General features: G+C 40.0%; 1 protein-coding gene across 1 annotated transcript in view, besides 1 other annotated feature; it reads left to right on the forward strand.

The window, feature by feature from the left end:
* The first annotated feature begins 840 nt into the window (after positions 1-840).
* ATP6V1C1 (ATPase H+ transporting V1 subunit C1) overlaps positions 841-20,175 on the forward strand; it is a 51,969-nt gene continuing 32,634 nt past the window's right edge. Inside the window, exon 1 of the mRNA NM_001695.5 lies at positions 841-983. The gene's annotated coding sequence lies outside the window, so the exon portion shown is untranslated. The remainder of the gene's footprint in view (positions 984-20,175) is intronic.
* Positions 1,071-1,280: an enhancer, noted in NCBI's record as "active region_27786". NCBI's record gives its function as "activates an Ori minimal core promoter by ATAC-STARR-seq in GM12878 lymphoblastoid cells {active_cell/tissue: GM12878}" and the evidence as "EXISTENCE:reporter gene assay evidence [ECO:0000049][PMID:35858748]".

The raw sequence follows: 20,175 nt of genomic DNA on the forward strand, positions 1-20,175 counted from the left end.
GAAATTCAGAGGAGTAAGGTCACACAACTAGTAAGTAGGAGAGCCTGGATTCAACACCTGGTATCTATTCCCTTGCGCTGAACAACTCCGTGCCCTCACTTTCTTCATCTGTAGATCTAAAAGGATTAAATTAGAACATCTCAAAATTTCTACTACTTCTAAAACTCTGTGTTCTAAATTAGGACATTACTATCTATCTCCCCAAGCTAATGAAATAAGCAGGGTTCCTGGGAGGAGCTTGTTACCTATTTTTCTCCAAAGGAGATGCTTTCCCCTGTCTATGCCTCTGTCCTAAAACCTTTGGTTTCCCACTATCTAATGTGGTTTCAACTATCTATGAGGCGCTTTCGTGGCAAGGAGTGATTCTCTCCAGTAGGCAATCCTAAGAACGAGCGCAGTGCTTGGCGCACAGTAAATGCTCCATGGACCATTTATGAAATTAAGTCTAAGTGGACTTCAGGAAAATGTGAATCTGCTAAAATGAACTACTAGCCAGTATACTAGGTAGAAAACCCAGCTGACGAAGAAAACCCCAAGTGGAGAAGCCCTTGTAGGGGGTTGGAGACAATTTCTGACCCGCAGAAACCTGCAGTGGCGCTGACGTTTACAAGTGGTGGACAAAACGCCACTTGCAACACTGGAAGAAGCGGAAAACCCCACCCACTCTGGAACAACAGCGATCAGCCCCGAATATAGGGTCCCCTTGCCGCCCCGTAGCCTCCTAGTCCCGCCCCTCTCCCAAGGCCCGGCAGTGGCAGCGGCTGCGGCTGCGCAGTGGCGCGGGCGTAGGCGGAGCAGCGCGCGCCGCGGTCAGCTGACTGCTGGGCTGGCACGTGACTTGTTCTGTGTTCGCTTGGGTAGAGGAAGCCGTGAGGCCGGAGCTTAGGTCGGGAAGGGATGGATCGCTGAGCCGATAGCGTCCGCTAGGCTGTCTGCCTCGGTACCTGTTACTGCTGCTACTTCCTCGTTTGACACCTTCCTGGGTCAGTGAGCGATGGCTCTCCCCGGATGGGGAGTCCTGGTCAGGCCGAAGCATGAGCTCCGGTCGCTGCCTGGGAGGGACGCGGGTGGGTGCGGGGGCAGAGACCGTGGCGTTGGAGCTGGAGCTGGCTGGGTGGCTGTGTCTGGTTTCTCGGCGCCAATTCACCGTCTTGGGCCTAGGTTCCGTCTCTAAGGAAGAGAAGGAGGGAAAAAGAGAAAGAGCTCTCGTGGGTAGTTAATGACAGGCAGAAAGGAGAGATACAGCGGTCTGGGATCTTTCTTCTTGGGTAGGAATGCACGCCGCCTGATTGATTGAGGGGAATGAAGTGATAGGTCCAGGTGAGGCTATGGAGTGGTGTGTGTGAGGTCACAGCTAGCGCAAGTGCCTTCACTGGGTGTGTGTTGGGGGGGGCGCGGGTGTCGGGGGTCGGGGGTGGTGGGATGACAGTTTAAAGGCCTAGGAGCCCCTAACTGCAGGCAAGGAACCCTCACAGAGTACACAAGGTCCCTCTAGGAATGAGAAAGAACAGGAATCCAGAGAACTCAACTATTTTTTAGTAGAATGGGGGAGGGTAGGCAAACAAAACAGAACAAAACAAAACAAACCCCTAGAAAAGAACTTGGTGAGAGTCACATAAGGCATATTGAATCACTTGAGAAACAGGAGTAAGGGGGAAGCTAGTATTCTTTTCAGAGGAAAATTCTGGTATGTTAGGGAAAAATCACATGCTTCAGTGCGAGCCCAGTACTTAGCGCCGCTCTGGGAATGGAACGGGTGGGATGTGAACAGTCTATCCTTAGGAGTTAGCACTAACGTTGGAGAGAAAAGTCTACACACAGGACACGTTAAAATACGATGCAGTTTATGTATACTTACCAAAAAGAGAATGCGAAGTGCTTTGAAAGTGTGGAGCAACGACACATGTGTAAACTGGCACTATGGGAAGATATTCTGGAGGAAAGAAAACTTGAGTCTTGGCAAGCCCTCAGGATTTGAACAGGTTGAGAGAAATGGGGATAATTTTACAGGCAGGGAAAGCCACAGGATTTGAAAGCCTGAAGATGGGGGTAGGGAATGCTTCTGGTGGAGTCAGAAGTAGCTTTTACAGTGGATTGCACTGCGGAGAAGTGGGAAAGAAAGTTGGGAGTCAGGTAACGAGGACTTTTGAATGGTAGTCGTTTACTTATTCATGCAAATAATGTGTACTGAATACATGCTGTATGCAGGTACAGTGCTGATGGTAGGGTTTAGAAAATTGTCTTTATAGAGCTTACAGGCAAGCAGAGGGGATGGATTTTAAAAATCAAGCAAGCGTGAAATGTGCTTTGAAGGAATAACAGTGGTATGAAAGAGTGTAGTAGGGGCATGTGTATTATGGAAGATTTTAAAAAGGCATTGCTAAGAATATGACTTTTTAAAGATTAAAACAATTTTATTTATATTCTTCATACCCTCTCGCTCTGAGAGGGTATGACTTTTGACCTGAGATCTGAAAAGAGACTGAAAAGGGAATGTGAAGGTGTGAGTGAAAAGAACATTCCAGGCCTGGCAGGGTGGCTCGTGACTATAATCCCAACATTTTGGGAGGCTGAGGTGGGAGGATTGCCTGAGGCCAGGAGTTCAGGACCAGCCTGGGCAACATAGTGAGACCACCGTCTCTACCAAAAATAAAAAAATAACTAGCTGGGAGTGGTGGTGTGTGCTTGTAGTCCTAGCTGCTCGGGAGGCTGAGGCGAGAGGATCATTTGAGCCCAGTAGTTCGAGGCTGCAGTGAGCTGTGATCATGCCACTGCACTCCCTCCTGGGAAACAGAGCTAGACCCTGTCTCTGAAAAACGAAAAAGGAACATTTCAGGCTGAAGCAACAGCGTATGTCAAGGCCCTGAAATGTGAAGAGGAAGAAAGCTTTTCAGCCTTTTTGAAAGGCTAGCATGGCTGAAACGGGGAGGGAGAGAGGCAGGTGGAGAAAGCTGGGGTCACGCCAAGCAGAGCTTTTATTCTAAAAACAGAGGGAAGCCAGTGAAGATTACAGGCAGTGGATTGAGACAGGTTGTGGCTTTTTTTTTTTTTTTTTGGTGGGGGGGAGATAATGTGGAGGGTGGCAAAAGTGAATGAGGGGAGACCCGCTCAGGGGAACATTGTTGTAATCCACTGAAGGATTTGAAGACAAGATACCTTCTCTCTCCACTGAGGACTTCAGAATGTTTAACTGTATTCACTTTTAGAGGGTTCAGGACTTGGGGAAGGGAAAGAATGATTCGATTCTATTTGTACCCTTCACAGGGTAGTCGTAACTACCCTCGAGGCAGTCCTGAAGTACATAGCAGAGGCTCTTTTGCAAAAATTTGTTTTGGCTTTTCAAATTTATCCTTTTGTAAGGTCATCTATTTCAGAATATCTTTTATTGAAATATAGTTACAGGGAGGGATCACTTTCATATTTATTTTGTTCTCACAGTTCTTTGAAAGACAGTGGATGAAAATGCTATTCATTGTATAGATGGGAACCTGGAGCTAGAGAAACACGTAAAGTGATTTGGCTGAGTCCGGAGTAACTGCCACAGTTTTCTGACTGCTGATGTATTCCTGCTGATTACCTACACAGTACTAACCACAGTCACATCTAGAGAAAAGGGCGAGTTTTTTGAAGTGCACAGTAGTCTTTGATTCAGCATTTTTTTTTGGGGGGGGGGAACTTCTCCCTGAAGAGTCAGCACTTTTGATGAACTTTTTCTAGTAGAACAGCTTCAAAGGAATTGGCAGTGGTGGGCTATGTCTTATCTATAATCTTGGATAGAGCTGTTCAATTTACAGTTCATCTGGAGGAAATAATGAACAATAAGGTGAACTGAAAGTGCTCAGGTTGTCAATCACAGTTCTTTGGCAAAAAGTGAGTCTCAAATTATGCTGAAGACTGAGCCTCAGGGTTCTGTCTCAGAAGTCCTGGATCTTTTTCTCTTTTGGTATACCTTGTAGGGACTAGATAAAATCTAAAGAAACAGTACTCAGGATCTAACTAAATGCTGAGAGCTAGATAGTGTAATTCAGCTTTTAAAACTTGGCACAAAATACTCATTTTTATTTTTTTGGTATATTAGTCTTAGGAGCCTCATGTACATTAGTTTTTTCAACCTAAAAAGAAACTTCAGGGCTTCAAAAATCTGATTTTGTGATTATTTCCACAACTCACGAGATAATACCATTGGCCAACTGGAATGCCAAAGTAAACCTTTGCCAAAGGTCTCCATGTAGTTTACCCGTCCCTAAGCAGCAAGTCTTCTTTTGAACTTGGTTCTGCTTAGGAGTACTACAGTTTTGACTGAGTACCTCCTACTTAAAATTTTGCTCTTGTACATATTTAAATCTGTCTACAGGTTACATCTTTTTCACTCTTTGGGTGTGGAATTATATATCATTTATAAATTAATTCATGTTAGATTTCCATTTTTCATCAATTTTTAAAGACAGACATAGTATAAACATTAGCATAGTGCCCTTGGGACGCTTAGGCAGTGAACCAAGGCAGTCTAAAATTTCCTATTGACATGAGTGATTCTTGGAACTAGAAATTTCAAACTATATTCTTGATGCTGAAACAAAATTTTTTATCCAGCAGGACATCTACTTCTAAGATTATACCATGTGCAAATGTACTATGCGTTTATTGAGTTAAAAAAATGAGCCAGGTAGGCAGTGGAGGAGAGGTGCTTTGGTTACTATGCATTTATTGAGTTAAAAAATGAGCCAGGTAGGCAGTGGAGGAGAAGTGCTTTGGTTACATCGGGGATAAAAGAGTATTAACTGTATATCTAAAATGTGGGGTGTGTGTGTGTGTGTCTGTGTGAGTATGTGTGTGTATTTGAAAATAAAATGCTAGGTAAGTGATGTTTTATAGAAAGGGATCGATGGATCTTCTAAGATATTTTAAACAGACTATCAATGAATAGGAAGTTGTAAATTAAGGCGTGTTAACAGGTGGTTTAACTTTACCATGAAAGGTTTTCCTTTTGAATCAGCCCATAGTTTAGTGTTTCTATGTGGGTGCTATTGGCAGTTTGGAGGTCTGTTTCGCCCCTACCCACTAAATGCTGATTAGCGATCTCCACATTGGGACAACCCAAAATGCTCCCATACATTTCCAGACTCCTCCTGGAGGAGAGAGGCACCATTTGGTGCAAAACATGCATGTGGTGTCAGTTTATTTGTTGGACAAATATTAAGATGTTGAGGTTACAGAGGTTAAAAGTAATATTTTAATAAACTGCATATAATGGAATTCAAGTAATTTAAAATCTAGTGTTTGATGTTTTAATGTAACTCCTTTAGTGTAAAATTACTGAAACTATATCCTAATATTTCTTTGAGGCACTTGTCTTTTGTAAAACTGCATGAATAACTCAAATAGAGTCCCCTTAATCCCAATAAAATGTAGTCACTAAATGTCTTTGGGCAACTAATTTCACCAGCTGTTCCCTCATTTGCAAGTGGGGGTGGTGATAACACATCTTGTGAGGGAATTAAATACAAAATTGCTTTAGTAGATGCAAGTGCTTATCACTGGGCACAACATGTGGTACATATTCAGTGATAGTTGTTACCAGTAAACAGAATCTCAAGCTTACTTAGGGTCATGAGTTGGAGAAAACTAATCTTAAAGTCTTTAAGTTGGTGAATTTCAGGCCAAAATACATTGTATTGGAGATATCAGCACCTTCTAGCAGAATGTGGTACCGTGGTCCAGTCACTATTATAAATTGCCAGCCATGAAGAAAAGGGAAGTCATGTTTTGGGAGCCATGAGTGTAGATTCAGGGAATCCCCTGGCATGGAAGGAATTATTTGCCCACTGGGTCACCGCTGAGTTGCCTGTGCAGAGGAGGAGTCTCTAGAAGCTGAGAAGGTTTTGGTGATTACTTGCAGTAATGGGTGTACGACAGGGCCCTCCTGGCCATGTCTGCCAATTCAGTAGCTTTACCAGAAGTTACTAGAAATTTTCCAACATTGTATTATGTATTACATCCCCAGCCCCCACTCCACAATGTCACAGTGTGTTTCCAGTTTTTGTGATAGGTATCTGTGTGAAAGTAAGGCTTTGCTTTTACAGATTGCTTTCTAGGCAAATGTGGAATAAAAAAATTGTAGTTGATAAAATGAGTCTAATAAAGATTAAATTGCCTTTCATATTTAAGTATATTTATGGCAAGAAATTATGGTAGTTTTAATAGGATTATAGAGCATTTATGGGTATTGTTTCCATTGAAAACAAAACACGGAATATTTAAGATTTATTTAAGAAAGGCGGGGCTGGGTGTGGTGGCTCACGCCTGTAATCCCAGCACTTTGGGAAGCGGAGGCAAAGGGCGGGCGGATCACTTGATGTCAGGAGTTCAAGACCAGCCTGGCCAACATGGTGAAACCCTGTCTCTACTGAAAATACAAAAAATAGCTGGGCATGGTGGCTCGTGCCTATAATCCCGGCTACTCAGGAGGCTGAGGCAGAAGAATCGCTTAAACCCAGGAGGCAGAAGTTACAGTGAGCCGAGATCGCGCCAGTGCACTCCAGCCTGGGCAACAGAGTGAGACTCCGTCTCCAAAAAAAATAAAAAGGCATATTTTCTGACAGTTTTAAAATCTCATTTCGTATGAATCATGGACGTATTCCTTGAAAGGTAAAATCCCCCTTCTAGTTACTGAAAATGTTTAAACAAGTTGTATTATGAGCAAGCCCCTCCCACAATCCCAATTAAGATGCTTCTGTTTCGAAGGATAGAATTTTTACATTCAAAGAGGAAGCAGTTATTTTTACTTTTTATATGTATGGTGTTAGTGATTTCTAGGGTAGGATGTGGCAACTTTTTAACTGAGTGGATTGTGGTAAATGTTTCGCACAGATCAATTCTGTTAAAAGTTGATGTGCACATTTGGAAGGCTATGTGATATTTCACTGATAGCTGAGGTATGCCTTCTTGTGCTTCTTAAAATAAGCTGCTTTAGTAAACTTGGTATTTTCAAGTACTGAAAAGGAAGTTGTTTTGCATGGAGACCACCTTCTAGGCTTAATTTATTGTGAAATTTAATTTACTGTGAAAGGTGATTGCATTTCAGAGACCACGGTTTGGTTTTCTTGAAAGCATTGAAATCAGTTAAGTGTCGGAGCACTTAGTGGAGTGCGGTACTGTTTTCTGTGGTTGCCCCTATCTTGGGTCAATCCCATACCTTCCATTCACAGAAGCAGTGCCAGCAGATGTCTTGTTCAGGCTTATAACCAACCCCCCCTCACCTTTTATGTTGTAATAGTTATTGTTTTATTGTCTTTATATGCAAATCAATTGTGGTAGGAAAATAATCCATAGCCTTCAAACTCTCAGAAGTGGGAGATAAAGTAAATAAAATTAACAGTCCCATAGCTTTGGATCTAGGGTTTTTTTTTTTTCTCCTTTCCTCCCACTTTTTTCCCTTCCATGTTGAAAAATAATTGTTACTTTTTTTTTTAAGCAGCACACTTATTGCAGTCAGACAAAATAGAAGTGCCTACAGAATTGACTAGTGTTTCCCTTGTGCCTCCCTATGTTCTTCAGTGTTTTTTTCTGTCTTGACATCTACATGAAGTCTTCCTCCCACCCTCCCTGCACACACACAGACCTGCCTGCTCGTAAGACCTGCCACCCTCTCCCACCCCCAATTGTAAGCTCCATGAGGACAGGGTCTACATTTTGTTTGTTTTGTTTCTCAGAGTCTATTACAGTTTTGGGAACTTAAGTACCCAAAATATTTTGTGAGATGAATAAGAGCTTTAATTGAGAACAGTTACAGTCAGATGAGATGTGTGACAAAACATAAAATAGATGTCTGCCTAATGCTGTTAATGACATGAGTGTAAGTAGACATGTGGGAGAAGTAGTGGGATTATAGTAACAGGTTTGGTGCATGGATGGACTTAGTTGGGAAAATCATTTTGTTAAGGGAGGCTTGGGTTGGCTTAAACTGGAAGAGAGAAATTTGTTTTGTGCGAAACGAGCAAAGGCAGGGTAGGAAAGGGAAGGAGGCCTGAGGTCAAGATGGATAAAGAGAGCTCAGGAGGAATGCGAGGATAAGGCAGAAAAACTCAGACAGGGATGCTAGTAGTGATGACAGTGAAGATTGGCAGATTTGAGTTTTGTTTCCAAGAAAGAAGCAGGACTAGGGGTGTCTGTTTTGGTGAGTTGTTCAGCCTTCTGTCCATAGCCTTCAAGAGTATTGCCATTTCTTGTAACATTAAATATACTGTATAATCATAGAAATGCCTGTCTTGTTACAGTGGTTCTGAAATTTGGGTGAATTACCTGAGGGACTTAAAATAGGAAAAAAGAATCCTGGGCCTCACCTAGTATAGGTTCAGGTAGTGAGTATAGGAGCAGAAGAGGATCCTGGATATTGTAATCCAATCCTCTCATTTTACAAGTGAAGACATTTATGCAGACAATTATATGCAGAACTGGGATTAGATTCCAAGTCTTCATATCCTCAGCGCAGTGCTCTGGCGATTACATTGTGCTTCCTGAAATTGACATTTGGGTTTTCTTTGACTATGATTCCCAGTGAGGTAAAAGGGCCGTTTACCAACTTTGATCACATCTTCAGAAGTAGCTACAATTAACCAGCTTTGCCCTTCTCTTTTGTATGAACTCCAGGGCTCTTTGTTATGATGCCATTTAATGGTCTCTAAACTTTTCAGTGTTTTCAAATATGAGGATACTGCCCTAATAAGGATGCGGTGGGACATTTTTTTGTTTGTGTTTACATGTAATAATTTATTATTTAAAAATTAGGAAAAAAATATACAGAAAGGATGAAAACAAACATTCATAATCACTCCCAAGAGATAATTGTTGACAGTTTTTTTTTTTATAATTTAATGTTTATACCTATGCATATCCTTATTTTCTTTCTTAAGATCGGCATAGCTAGGCCAAAGGATATGCACATTTTGTGGGTTTTGATAAATATTGCCAAATTGTGTTCCAGAAATTGTCTATCTTTTGTTCTTTCTTCCTTCCTTCCTTCTTTTCTCTCTCTCTCTCTTCTTTTTTTTTTTCAAGACCCTCTGTCACCCAGGCTGGAGTGAGAGGCGTGATCTTGGCTCACTGCAACCTCTGCCTCCTGGGTTCAAGCGATTCTCTTGCCTCAGCCTCCCAAGTAGCTGAGATTACAGATGCGTGCCACCGTGTCTTGCTAATTTTTGTATTTAGTAGAGAAGGGGTTTCACCCTGTTGCCCAGGCTGGTCTTGAATTCCTGACCTCAGGTGATCCACCCGCCTCAGCCTCCCAAAGTGTTGGGATTACAGGCATGAGCCACTGCACCCAGCCCATCTGTTGTTTCTCATCTGCAGAATTTTCTTGGGCTCCCATGTGATGTGTAATTATTTTAGATTATTTTAGAAATAGATGATGTAGTATATCTAAGATATATTTTAGATATTTTATTAATGATGACAAATTGTTACAGCTGTATTCATGCTTTATTTTATTTAAAAAAAATTTTTTTTTTTTGAGATGGAGTCTTGCTTTGTCGCCCAGGCTGGAGTGCAGTGGCACAATCTCGGCTCACCGCAACCTCTGCCTCCCGGGTTCAAGTGATTCTCCCACCTCAGCTTCCTGAGTAGCTGGGACTATAGGCATGCACCACCATGCCCAGCTGATTTTTGTATTTTTAGTAGAGACAGGGTTTTACTATGTTGGCCGTGGCTGGTCTTGAACTCCTGAGCTCAAGTGATCCACCTGTCTTGGCCTCCCAAAGTGCTGGGATTAAAGGTGTGAAGCCACTTCACCTAGCCTATTAATGCTTTTAAATAAATTCATGTTTTACTTATCAAGATAGCACGCCATACATTTGCAAATTAATGGCACATAAGTGAATGTTGGAGACATTTATTCAAGCTGCAGCTGTTTTTTTTTTTTAAACAAAAATGAACATTTTTCCTTGTTAGTACAAAAGCAATACATGTTCATTGTGTTCCATTTTTCACAAACACAGTAGTACTCCAGTCTTTTAGCCTAGATTTGGTAAATTTTTGGCATTTATTGTTGTCAGTCCTGTTTTCTGTTAAATGTTAAAACATGGGGCTGAGAGAGGCTGTGAGGTTGTGGCTGAATCCCTGCATAGAAACAATCAGAACAATTAGAAAAACCGAACACTCGTGAATAATACATACAACAAAACCAGATGAGACTTCAGTTTTTGTCTGCGATGGAGTAACTGGTACCATATTTGCTTTCCCACCATAAACAATTACAAATCTGGACAAGATATATTAAAAAACTGCTTCCAGACATCGGACAATAGGCAGTACAGGAGCTGAGCGAAAGGAAATGAGCTGTGTAATTCCTCCTGCTTTTTCCTGTAGACACTCTCTGCACCGTGTTTTAGGAAGGGAACACCCGTGCAGAGCATCTTGGTCTTGCTGAGTCGAGGAGACTGGACTTGGGGAAGGTTTATCTGGCTGGAATTTGCAGGTGGGATTGACAGAGAGAGGGAGCTAGGCAGAGAAATAAACACCAGAAACTTATGGGGGGGGTCTCTGCAGGAGATCTAACAAAGAATGACCAGAGAGCTTTAAACTGAAGAATTGCCAGAGCTTATGGTGCTGGGAGGCATTTGAATTCTGACCAGATATGGGAGAGAGAACTTATTGAATACCTGGGACATTCAATAGAATCCCCAAAAGGTTAGACCTTAGTATCAGAGACTAAGTTAGCCCTAGAGTAAGGCCTTAGATCTATCCTAACAATGTTTGAAAACAAGCCTTGGGTGGATCAAGCTGATCCTCCCCTAACTTACCTGCCCACCACAACAAAGTACAACACTCTTAAAAGGAAGACAGCAAAGTCCAGTGATACACAGTGCAGCATTTTTACAAATATGCTCAGTGTTTTAACAGAAAACATGAACATAATGAGGAAAGAAATGGAAGATATTTTAAAAATGGAACTTAAAGCAGAAAAATACATAAGAAGTGAAATATTCACTGGTGAGAAGAATAACAGATTAGATACTCCAAAGAAAAGGTCAGCAAACTACAAGATACAGCAAGAGACTGTGTTAGTCTTATTTGTTGCCATAAAGGAATCTGTGAGACTGGGTAATTTATAAAGAAAAGAGGTTTTTTTGGCTTACAGTTCTGTAGGCTGTGCAAGCATGGCATCCGGATCTCAGCTTCTCATGAGGCTTCAGGAAGCTCTTGAGTCATGGCAGAGGGGAAGGGGAGCAGGAGTGTCACATGGTGAGAGAAGGAGCAAGAGTCAGGGGGAAGGTAACAGTCAGATCTCATGATAACTTCTTACTATGGGGAGGGCATTCTCTTTTTAACAATCAGATTTCAAGGTAACGTTACTACAGGGAGGGCACCAAGCCGTTTATGAGGGATCTGCCCCATGACCCAGACACCTCCCACCAGGCCCCAGCTCCAACATTGGGGTTTATTCAACATGAGATCTGGGGAGGACAGACATCCAAACTATATCACTATCCAAAGTAAAACACAGTGAGAAAAACAACTGAGAAAAATGAATGAAAGCTCAGTGACCTGTGGAGCAGTATCAAGTGGTTTAACATACATGTGATCTTGTTTCAAAAGAAGGAAGTGAAGGCAAAAAAAATTGAGGAAAAATAATGGCTGAAAACATTTCAAATTTGATGAAAACTATGAATGGATCCAAGAAACTCAACAAACTCGAAGCAGAGTAAATACTTGTGACCTTGGGATAGGCAGGTTTTTCACATGCTACAGAAAGCATATATTGTAAAAAAAAAACAAAAAACAAAAAACAAAAAAAACCCAAAAACTGATAAATCGGACATTGGCAGAATTGCAAACTTCTTTTCAAAAGCATCATTAAGTCAAGCCACAGAATGAGAGAAAATATGTAAATATGTATATATATTTCACAAGGAAATTGTGTCAAGATCATATAAAAATTTTGTGCAACTCAATAAGTGAATCCAGTTTTTTAAAAACTGGGCAAAAGACTTGAATAGAAAATATACAAATGGCAAATAACATGAAGAGCTCCTGAACTTCATTAGTCCGCATGGAAATGCATCATGGAAATGCAACATAACCCTGCAACCCACTGGAATGGCTAAAAATGAAAAGGCCAAGAACACTAAGTGTTGGTGGAGCATCTGGAGGCTGAATACTTTGCTAATAGGAGTATAAAATGTTATATATCTGCTTTGGAAAACAGTTTGTCAGTCTCCCCTCTCCTCCCCTCCCCTTCCTTTTTTTCTTTTTCTTTTTCTTTTCTTTCTTTCCTCACTCTGCTGTCCAGGCTGGAGTGCAGTGGCATGGCTCACTGCAACCTCCACCTTTTGGGTTCAAGCAATTCTTGTGCCTCAGCCTCATATGTAGCTGGGATTACAGGCCTGCACCACCGCACCTGGCTAATTTTTGTAATTTTAGTAGAGACAGGGTTTCAGCATGTTGGCTAGACTGGTTTCGAACTCCTGGCCTCAAGTGATCCACCTGCCTCAGCCTCCCAAAGTGTTGGGATTACAGGTGTGAGCCACCACACCTGGCCAATTTCTTATAAAGGTAAATATACATTGATCATTCAACTTAGAAATTCTACTTTTAGAATTTTTTATCCAAGAGAAAAATATATCTTCACAAAAAGCTTTGTAGAGGAATGTTCATAGAATCTCTATTCTTAGTGGTCCCAAACCAGTAGTAACAATCCAAATGTTCATCAACTGGTGAATGTATGAACAGACTATAGTAGATGTATGTGGTAGAATACTAAGTAATAAAACAGATTGAACTACTAATACATACAACACGGACAGATATCAAAGACTTGCTGAGCAAAAGCCAGGTACAAAAGAGTATCTAATGCATGCTTCCATTTACAAGGAAATTCTAGATCAGGCAAAACTAATCTATAGTAACAGAAAGCAGACCAACATTTGCCCAGGGCTGGCAGTGAGATAGGGATTGACTGGACTGAGTGTGAGGGAAGGTTTGGGGATGATAGAAGTGTCCTTAATCTTGGTTTTGACAGTGCTCACACAGGTGTATACATTTGTCAAAAACTCATCAAACTCTTACAATGGGTGCATTTAATTCTATATAAATTATATTTTAATAAAGTTGATTTTATAGAAAAAACGGGAAGTGAGGGAAGCTAACCAACTATAATCCAGGTGCTTGATGTTATCTCATTTAATCCTCACAGTAATTTTTATTGAAGAATATTCAGCAAATATCTTCTGAGATTCTACCATGCTGGTCTCTGTGCCAGGTACTGAGGATAAAGTGGTGAGCAAAAACTATCATGATTTCCACTTACCGTCCTGGGCAGTTTATTTGAAAGACAGATACTAGTAAAAAGTGCTCCCCCACCCCCAGAGAAATACTACAAAGAAGGTTCTATGAGAGCATATAATACATTCATCCTTAGCATATAATATATGCTGTCATATGATATATAATGAGACACATACTACATAATATACCTTGTATAATATATAAGATGCTTTATGTGCCCTGGTTTCTTTGTAACTACTACCCCTCTAATGGGGTTTCTCTAACTACTAAGTGAGTTAATACACGTGAAGTGTTTTGACTTGTGCTAGTAGATAGGAAGTGCCCAGTAAGTGTTGGCTGCTATGAACATTTGACAGTTCTAATTGTCTAATACTGCAGGGGTACACCTATACTAACTCAGGGAACAGTGGAGTAGGACTACATATTGGGGAAGAGATGATAAGTTTGACTAGAAGTGTTGGGTTTTAGCTGCTTTTGAGACATTCAGGTGGAAAATGTCTTGTAGTCAGATGTGGATACTGGTTGAGTACAACTCTAGATGCTGCAGAGGGCCCTGGGCTGGAGACATACATTTCAGAAAGTGTCCAGCATCTAGACTAGAATTGCCTCAACTGTAGAGATCATCATCAAGAAAGGTGCTATACACACACATTCACACACACGCAGAAAGAGAAGAAGGACATAGACCTGGATCTGAGCCTTGAGAAACTACGATTTAATCAGGGTGCCTTTTTGATCATCATCTCCTCTGTTTAGCATATGATTTTGCTACATTTAGGCCTGACTTCCTTCGTATTCAAGATAAAATAAAGGGAAATAATTACGAGTAAAAACAAGCAGTGGAGAAGGTGGTGTCAGGTTCTTGGCAAGTTGATAACAAATGGCCACTAATTTTGACAATTTGTTTCCTTGCAGCTGAGAGAAAAAGGGAAATATGTTTAGCAATATGGATTCCATTTTCCGATGAATAAAGACATACATATTCATCTGCAAAGATAAATTTTGTTTGAAACTAAACTTAAATTGTTCTTAAATTTCAAGGATAATTTTTTTTTTTTTTTTTGAGATGAAGTCTTGGTCTGTCACCCAGGCTAGGGTGCAGTGGCTCCATCTTGGCTCACTGCAACCTTTGCCTCCAGGGTTCAAGTGATTCTCTTGCCTCAGCCTCCCGAGTAGCTGGGATTACAGGCGCATGCCACCATGCCTGGCTAATTTTTTTGTATTTTTAGTAAAGACATGGTTTTGTCATGTTGGGCAGGCAGGTCTTGAACTCTTGATCTCAGGTGATCTGCCTGCCTCAGCCTCCCAAAGTGCTGGGATTACAGGTGTGAGCCACTGTGCCTGGCCTCAAGGAGAAATTTTTTTACCTGACTTGTGTAAGTGACAAGTTGAGAGCGGTCATAGTTTAAAAATGGAAAAAACAGATTTTGCAAAATACTTATGATGTTAACTGTCATAGGAAGTTGTTACATTCCTCCTTAGGTACTTAAGTAGCTTGTCTTTCCTGTTAGGCTCTTTACTTAGAGTTAGTTTGCTTTGACGAGGGGTAGAAGAACTGAGGCCATGGCTTTGCCTGAAGTACAGATAGGTTCTTTATCAAACCCTCTTTTTTATATTTTTGACTTTATTCACCCTTGACATAAAAGACAAAGGCTTACTTAGGAACCTGCAACTCTACCAATTTTTAATTTTTACTGTAAAATAAGGGTTTTCTGGAAGACTAAAAAACACTTTTAAAAAACATGATTTTTTTTGCGTTTATCTCTAAATCAGACGTTTTGATTGGTTCCATCATTGTTGTATTTGAATTTGAATTTTATTTATTAATTCAACAGGCATTTATTAAGTCCCTGCTATTGCCAGGAATTTAGTGTATTCTGGCTCTCAGGGTTTCACAGAGAAGAAGATATGATTCTAGCTCTTCAGGATTTCTCAGTAAGGTGGAGAGGAAAATATGTTATAAAAATGAGGGAGAATACGATGAGTGCGTAGTAGGGGCATTTATAAAGTATAAGTAAGCAAAGGATATTTCTCATCTGGGATACGGGGGAGAGTCTTGGGAGGTAGGATGGGGTGGGGCAGCAGCTAATACAATCATCCGCAGGAAGGGCGGCCGCATGGAAAGGGGAAGGTCTAGGTACATTATTTTATTCATACTTTCCAACAGCTGGGTGAAAAGATGTGTCGTGTTCCCACTTTACAGATGAGGAAACTAGTAAGGGGGTAGAGTCAGAGTTTTAACTGTTGCAGGACTCCAAAGTTTGTGTTCCTTCCTCCATGATCTGGCAGGTCCATCGAATCTCTAGTATCTGATCTCTAGTCTCAAAGTATACTTTGAATCTCGAATTTTGTGTGTGTGTCCTTTCGTTTGGAGGAATCGTTGTTCCTTCTAGAAGGTAGGATAGTTTTGGATGCTGGGTGATGCTACTTTAGAAATTGTGATGATCCTGGACGAAGGGAACAAGGAAAGGAAGCTTGGATCCCTTTATCAGAATTCACTGGACCAACAGGGTGCCCTGAGCCTGGAACCAAACAGGGTGAAGGTGTTGAAGCTTACATGTGGATTTCTCTTCAAATAGGAGAGCCCAGGTGCACCAGAGCACAGAACATCTTTTCTCCTAGTGTGACACAATAGAGAGAACATGGTCTTTAGAGTCAAACACAACTAAATTTGAACCCCATCTGCCAGTCGTGCAGCCTTGGGTAAACTACTAACCTCTCTGTGTATTACTGCCTATCTCATGGGTTGTAGTGAGAATGGAATAAAATGATGTATGAGAAGTGAAAAGCACAACATCAGACTTAGAAGGCACCTTTTCCTTCCTTTCCTCCTCATCTTCCAACACCTAGGCTCTAGGGAGGTCTCAGTTAAAAGCTAGAATTATGAGCACAGTGGCTCACACTTGTAATCTCAACACTTTGGGAGGCTAAGGCAGGAGGATTGCTTGAGGCTGGGAGTTTGAGACCAACCTGAACAACATATCAAGACTCCATCTCTACAAAAAATAAATTTTTTAAAAGCTAAATTAGAGAACTTCTATCATATTTTTAGACTGTAGTTTTGATCAGAATTTATCATGACATTATTTCCTTTGATCCTAATAAAAGCTCAGTGAAGTAGATAGGGCAGGTATTATTTATAGATGAGAAATGGGGTCCTCTTTCCTATTCCTTGAAATCCTTTGGAAGCCTGTTAGAAGAAAAGATTTTCTGGAACTCTAAGTAGTATGATAGTGACATCTACTGTAATAGCTTGTATTATTACAATCTTTGAGGAAGCTGCAGTTTAGATAATTTAGCACAATCATCAGGAAGAATTTAACAGTTGATTTTATTACCTGCCATTTTGGGGGGAGAGGAGGTATAAAAATGTATCCTTTGATATACTAACAGAAAACCACTTGCATAAAATTATTATAATAAAATCTCAATTTTTCCAGAAACCACGATCGCTTAGATCTGGATTACAAAAAGAGGTTTAAAGATGCTATTAGATTTTCTAATAACTGAAAATGTTAAAGTTCGAGACAGTTTGTGCTAAAAAAGCTAGATTCGCTAAGTGCGAGAGTATTAACTGGAAGCAACCGGCGATAGGTGGTGATGTGATCCAGGTGTTGTGAAGAACAGAGACAGGATGACAAGAAGACAGGATATAGGTCCACGAGATTTCAGCAGGGATTTATTTTTAAAAGCAACTTCTTGAGATAGGTTCTGGAGTTAGTACAGGTGTAGCCTGAACTCCCACACTTGCAACATTATGCAGTTAGATTGTTGGACATATTGACCCCCGAAATACTTTTTTAAATTTATTTTTTAAAAATAAAAATAATTAAAAAAAAAGAGAGACAGGGTCTCGCTATGTTGACCAGGCTGATCTTGAACTCCAGAGCTCAAGTGATCCTCCTGCCTCAGGATCCAAAAATACTTTTAAAATAAATCCCAAACTCTAAAAGCATTGTCTGCAATGTATTATACTTGGTCATAAGAAGATATAAACAAACTAGTAAGCATTTCTACTAGGTGTAAAACAAAAAGGTTGTACTTTGAGGATTAATTTGGTATCTAGATTATTCTCTGAATATCCATTTTAAAGTTCACTAAAATTTTATTTTTAATAAATTTGCCATGCAATGTTATGTTTTAACTTGTAAATTAAATACATTCTCATAAAAATTTTAAAAATATTTAGTTTTGAAGTATTTCAGATATACAGAAAAATGTTAAATATTGCCAATTATGTCATCCATGCAGATTTAGCAAGTATGAATATTTTGCTCTATTTGCCTGATTTTTTAAATGAAATCTTACCTACAAAACTAAAGCTCCTTTCTCCTATGCATATTTTAGTATTTTCTGTAAGTATATATAACTCTGAACACTATATACTATTATGTGTTTTTCAGTTGTGGAAATAGAAACTCTTACTCTGCTGGCAGGAACTTAAGTTGGTAGGGGCTTTGGAGAACAATTTGGCAATACCCAAAAGAGTTGGCAGTGGTCTGTGTCAGTTGTCTCATGCTGCACAACAAACTACCCCAAACTTAGTGGCTTAAAACAGTGATTTCTTATTTCTCCTAATTCTGTGAGTTGCTGGGGTAGTCCCTCTGCTTGTTTTGCCTGGACTCATTGATGCAGCCGCATTCAGCTGGGAGATTGGCTGGGCTGGAGGGCTCAAAATGGCCTCAGTCACATGTCTGGTGGTTCATGCTGGTTGTTGGTTCTCTACATGTGGCCTTATCACTTGCAATAGACTTCCTTATGTGGTAGTCTGAGGGCAGTGGTCCAAGACGCAAGGCCTCTTGAGGTCTGAGCCCTGAACTCGCATAGTGTGGCTTCCATGCGTTTTGTTGGTCAAACCAAGTCACAAGGCCAGCTCCACCTTTTGATGGAAGGAGTGGCAAAGTCACACTGCATAGGAGCATGGAAAGACATCTCGCCTCCATCTTTGAAGACATATCCTGTAATTCAGCTATTTTACTTTTATCTATCCCAGAAAAAATCTTTCACAGATAGAGAGATATGTACACATTGTTCACAGCAGAATTGTTTATAATAGCAAAAAAGTAAAAACAATTTAAGTCATTCCAGGAAGAAGCAGATAATAAATTTTAGTTTATTCATATAATGGAATACCATATATCAATTAAAATTAATGATCACTGGATAATTCTAAAAATAGGTTGAATGAAAAAATCAGATTGGAAAAGAATATGATAGTATAATAGCCTTAAAGTTCAATATTTGAAGTTTCTTGGGTAGGCTAATGAAGATTTTGCTTTTGCTTCTGTTTTGAAATCAAAACTTATCTTTGGATGGCCTCATTAGAGCATGGTGCTTATGAGTAGCTTCCATCCTTGGATGGCCAGTTAAGCTGTGCTGTTCTCTGACCAGACGGGCTGTCACTAAAAAGCTTGTGTTTAGCTTGTTGGCCATTTGGGAAAGTGTAGCTCTTTCATTTGAGAAGGTGTAGGTAGAGCTGATAAAGGTTTAACTTCATCAGTAATGTTAGAAAAGTCCATATACAGTACAGTTTCTTTTTTAAAATTTTTTTTCTAGAATATAGTTTCTTAACATTCATTTAATACCACTGTCTGCATCTGTACCAGGTTTAACCTGCATTTCTTATCTGTAAATGGGAAGCATGATATTTACCTCGTAGAGGTGTTGGGAAGATGAATTGAGATAATAATGCATTTAAAGCAGTACCTTTTATATGGTAGATCCTCTATAAACAGTAGTTAGAAAAATTAACAAGTATATAGGATGGCATCTATGTTAAGTTCACTTTCAATGGTATTGTAGTGAGAAGGTAGCATTGATTACCTACTCATAGGTACTTTAAGTAGGTACTTTAATTAAATTTTAGGACTACTGTAATTATGAAAGTCCATTATTAACTATAATACTTTACATTTTAAAGGAAATTTACATTTATAAACTCTTTTCACATTAATTATCTGATTTTGTTCTCAGGACAACTTTGTAAGATAGTTATATTCAATTTAGAGACATTGAATATTAGTTTCAGGAGAGGTTAAATAAGCAGTGTTAGCAGAAAGCTTATGTTGGTTCTCATGAAGGCAGATTAAAATGGAAATAATGATACCATAATACTTTGATTTTTATCATTTGTGTTTATGTGCTTTACCTACCTAGATTCTGAATAGATTTGTCTCTGTACTTTTTTCCCCCTTCTGTGTGTGTGGGAAGGGGAAGGAGGAGGAGGAGGAAAAGAGATTATAGAAGAGGGTTAGGTGAATCTTAATGGGACTCTTTGGAAAGGGAGAACTGCAGCCTGCCTCTCAGATCCAAAAATGTTATATTAACGCCACCCTCTCAGCTCCCTATATTTTAAAATAGCCAAGCAGATTGGCAAGATTTTTTTTTTTTCAGATTTGTAAATGTTCGATGGCAACTAAGTCTATGCATCAAAGATTTGAGGAGATTTCTCTAGGTTGACTATGGATTAGAATTAACCACCAAATTTACTAGCCATGTAGGATTTGCTAAGCCAATGTGACAAATTTATTTGGTGACTTCTGTTTATAAATGCATTGATTCAATTAAATTCTTTCTCCAAGATAAAAGTTATGCTTTTTTTTTCTTTTTTTAAATTTCCTATTTTGGTTGTATGCTTTAAAAGTTTGAGATAGGTTGGGTGTGGTGGATCACTTGAGGCCAGGAGTTCAAGACCAGCCTGGCTAACATGGCAAAAACCTGTCTCTACTAAAAATACAAAAATTAGCTGGGTGTGATGGTGCATGGCTGTAATCCCAGCTACTCAGGAGGCTGAGGCACAAAAATCGCTTGAACCTGGGAGGCGGAGGTTGCAGTGAGCTGAGATTATGCCACTGTACTCCAGCCTGGGCGACAGAGTGAGACACTGTCTCAAAA

The sequence above is a fragment of the Homo sapiens genome, chromosome 8 (assembly GCF_000001405.40).
Source record: "Homo sapiens chromosome 8, GRCh38.p14 Primary Assembly".
NCBI lineage: Eukaryota > Metazoa > Chordata > Mammalia > Primates > Hominidae > Homo > Homo sapiens.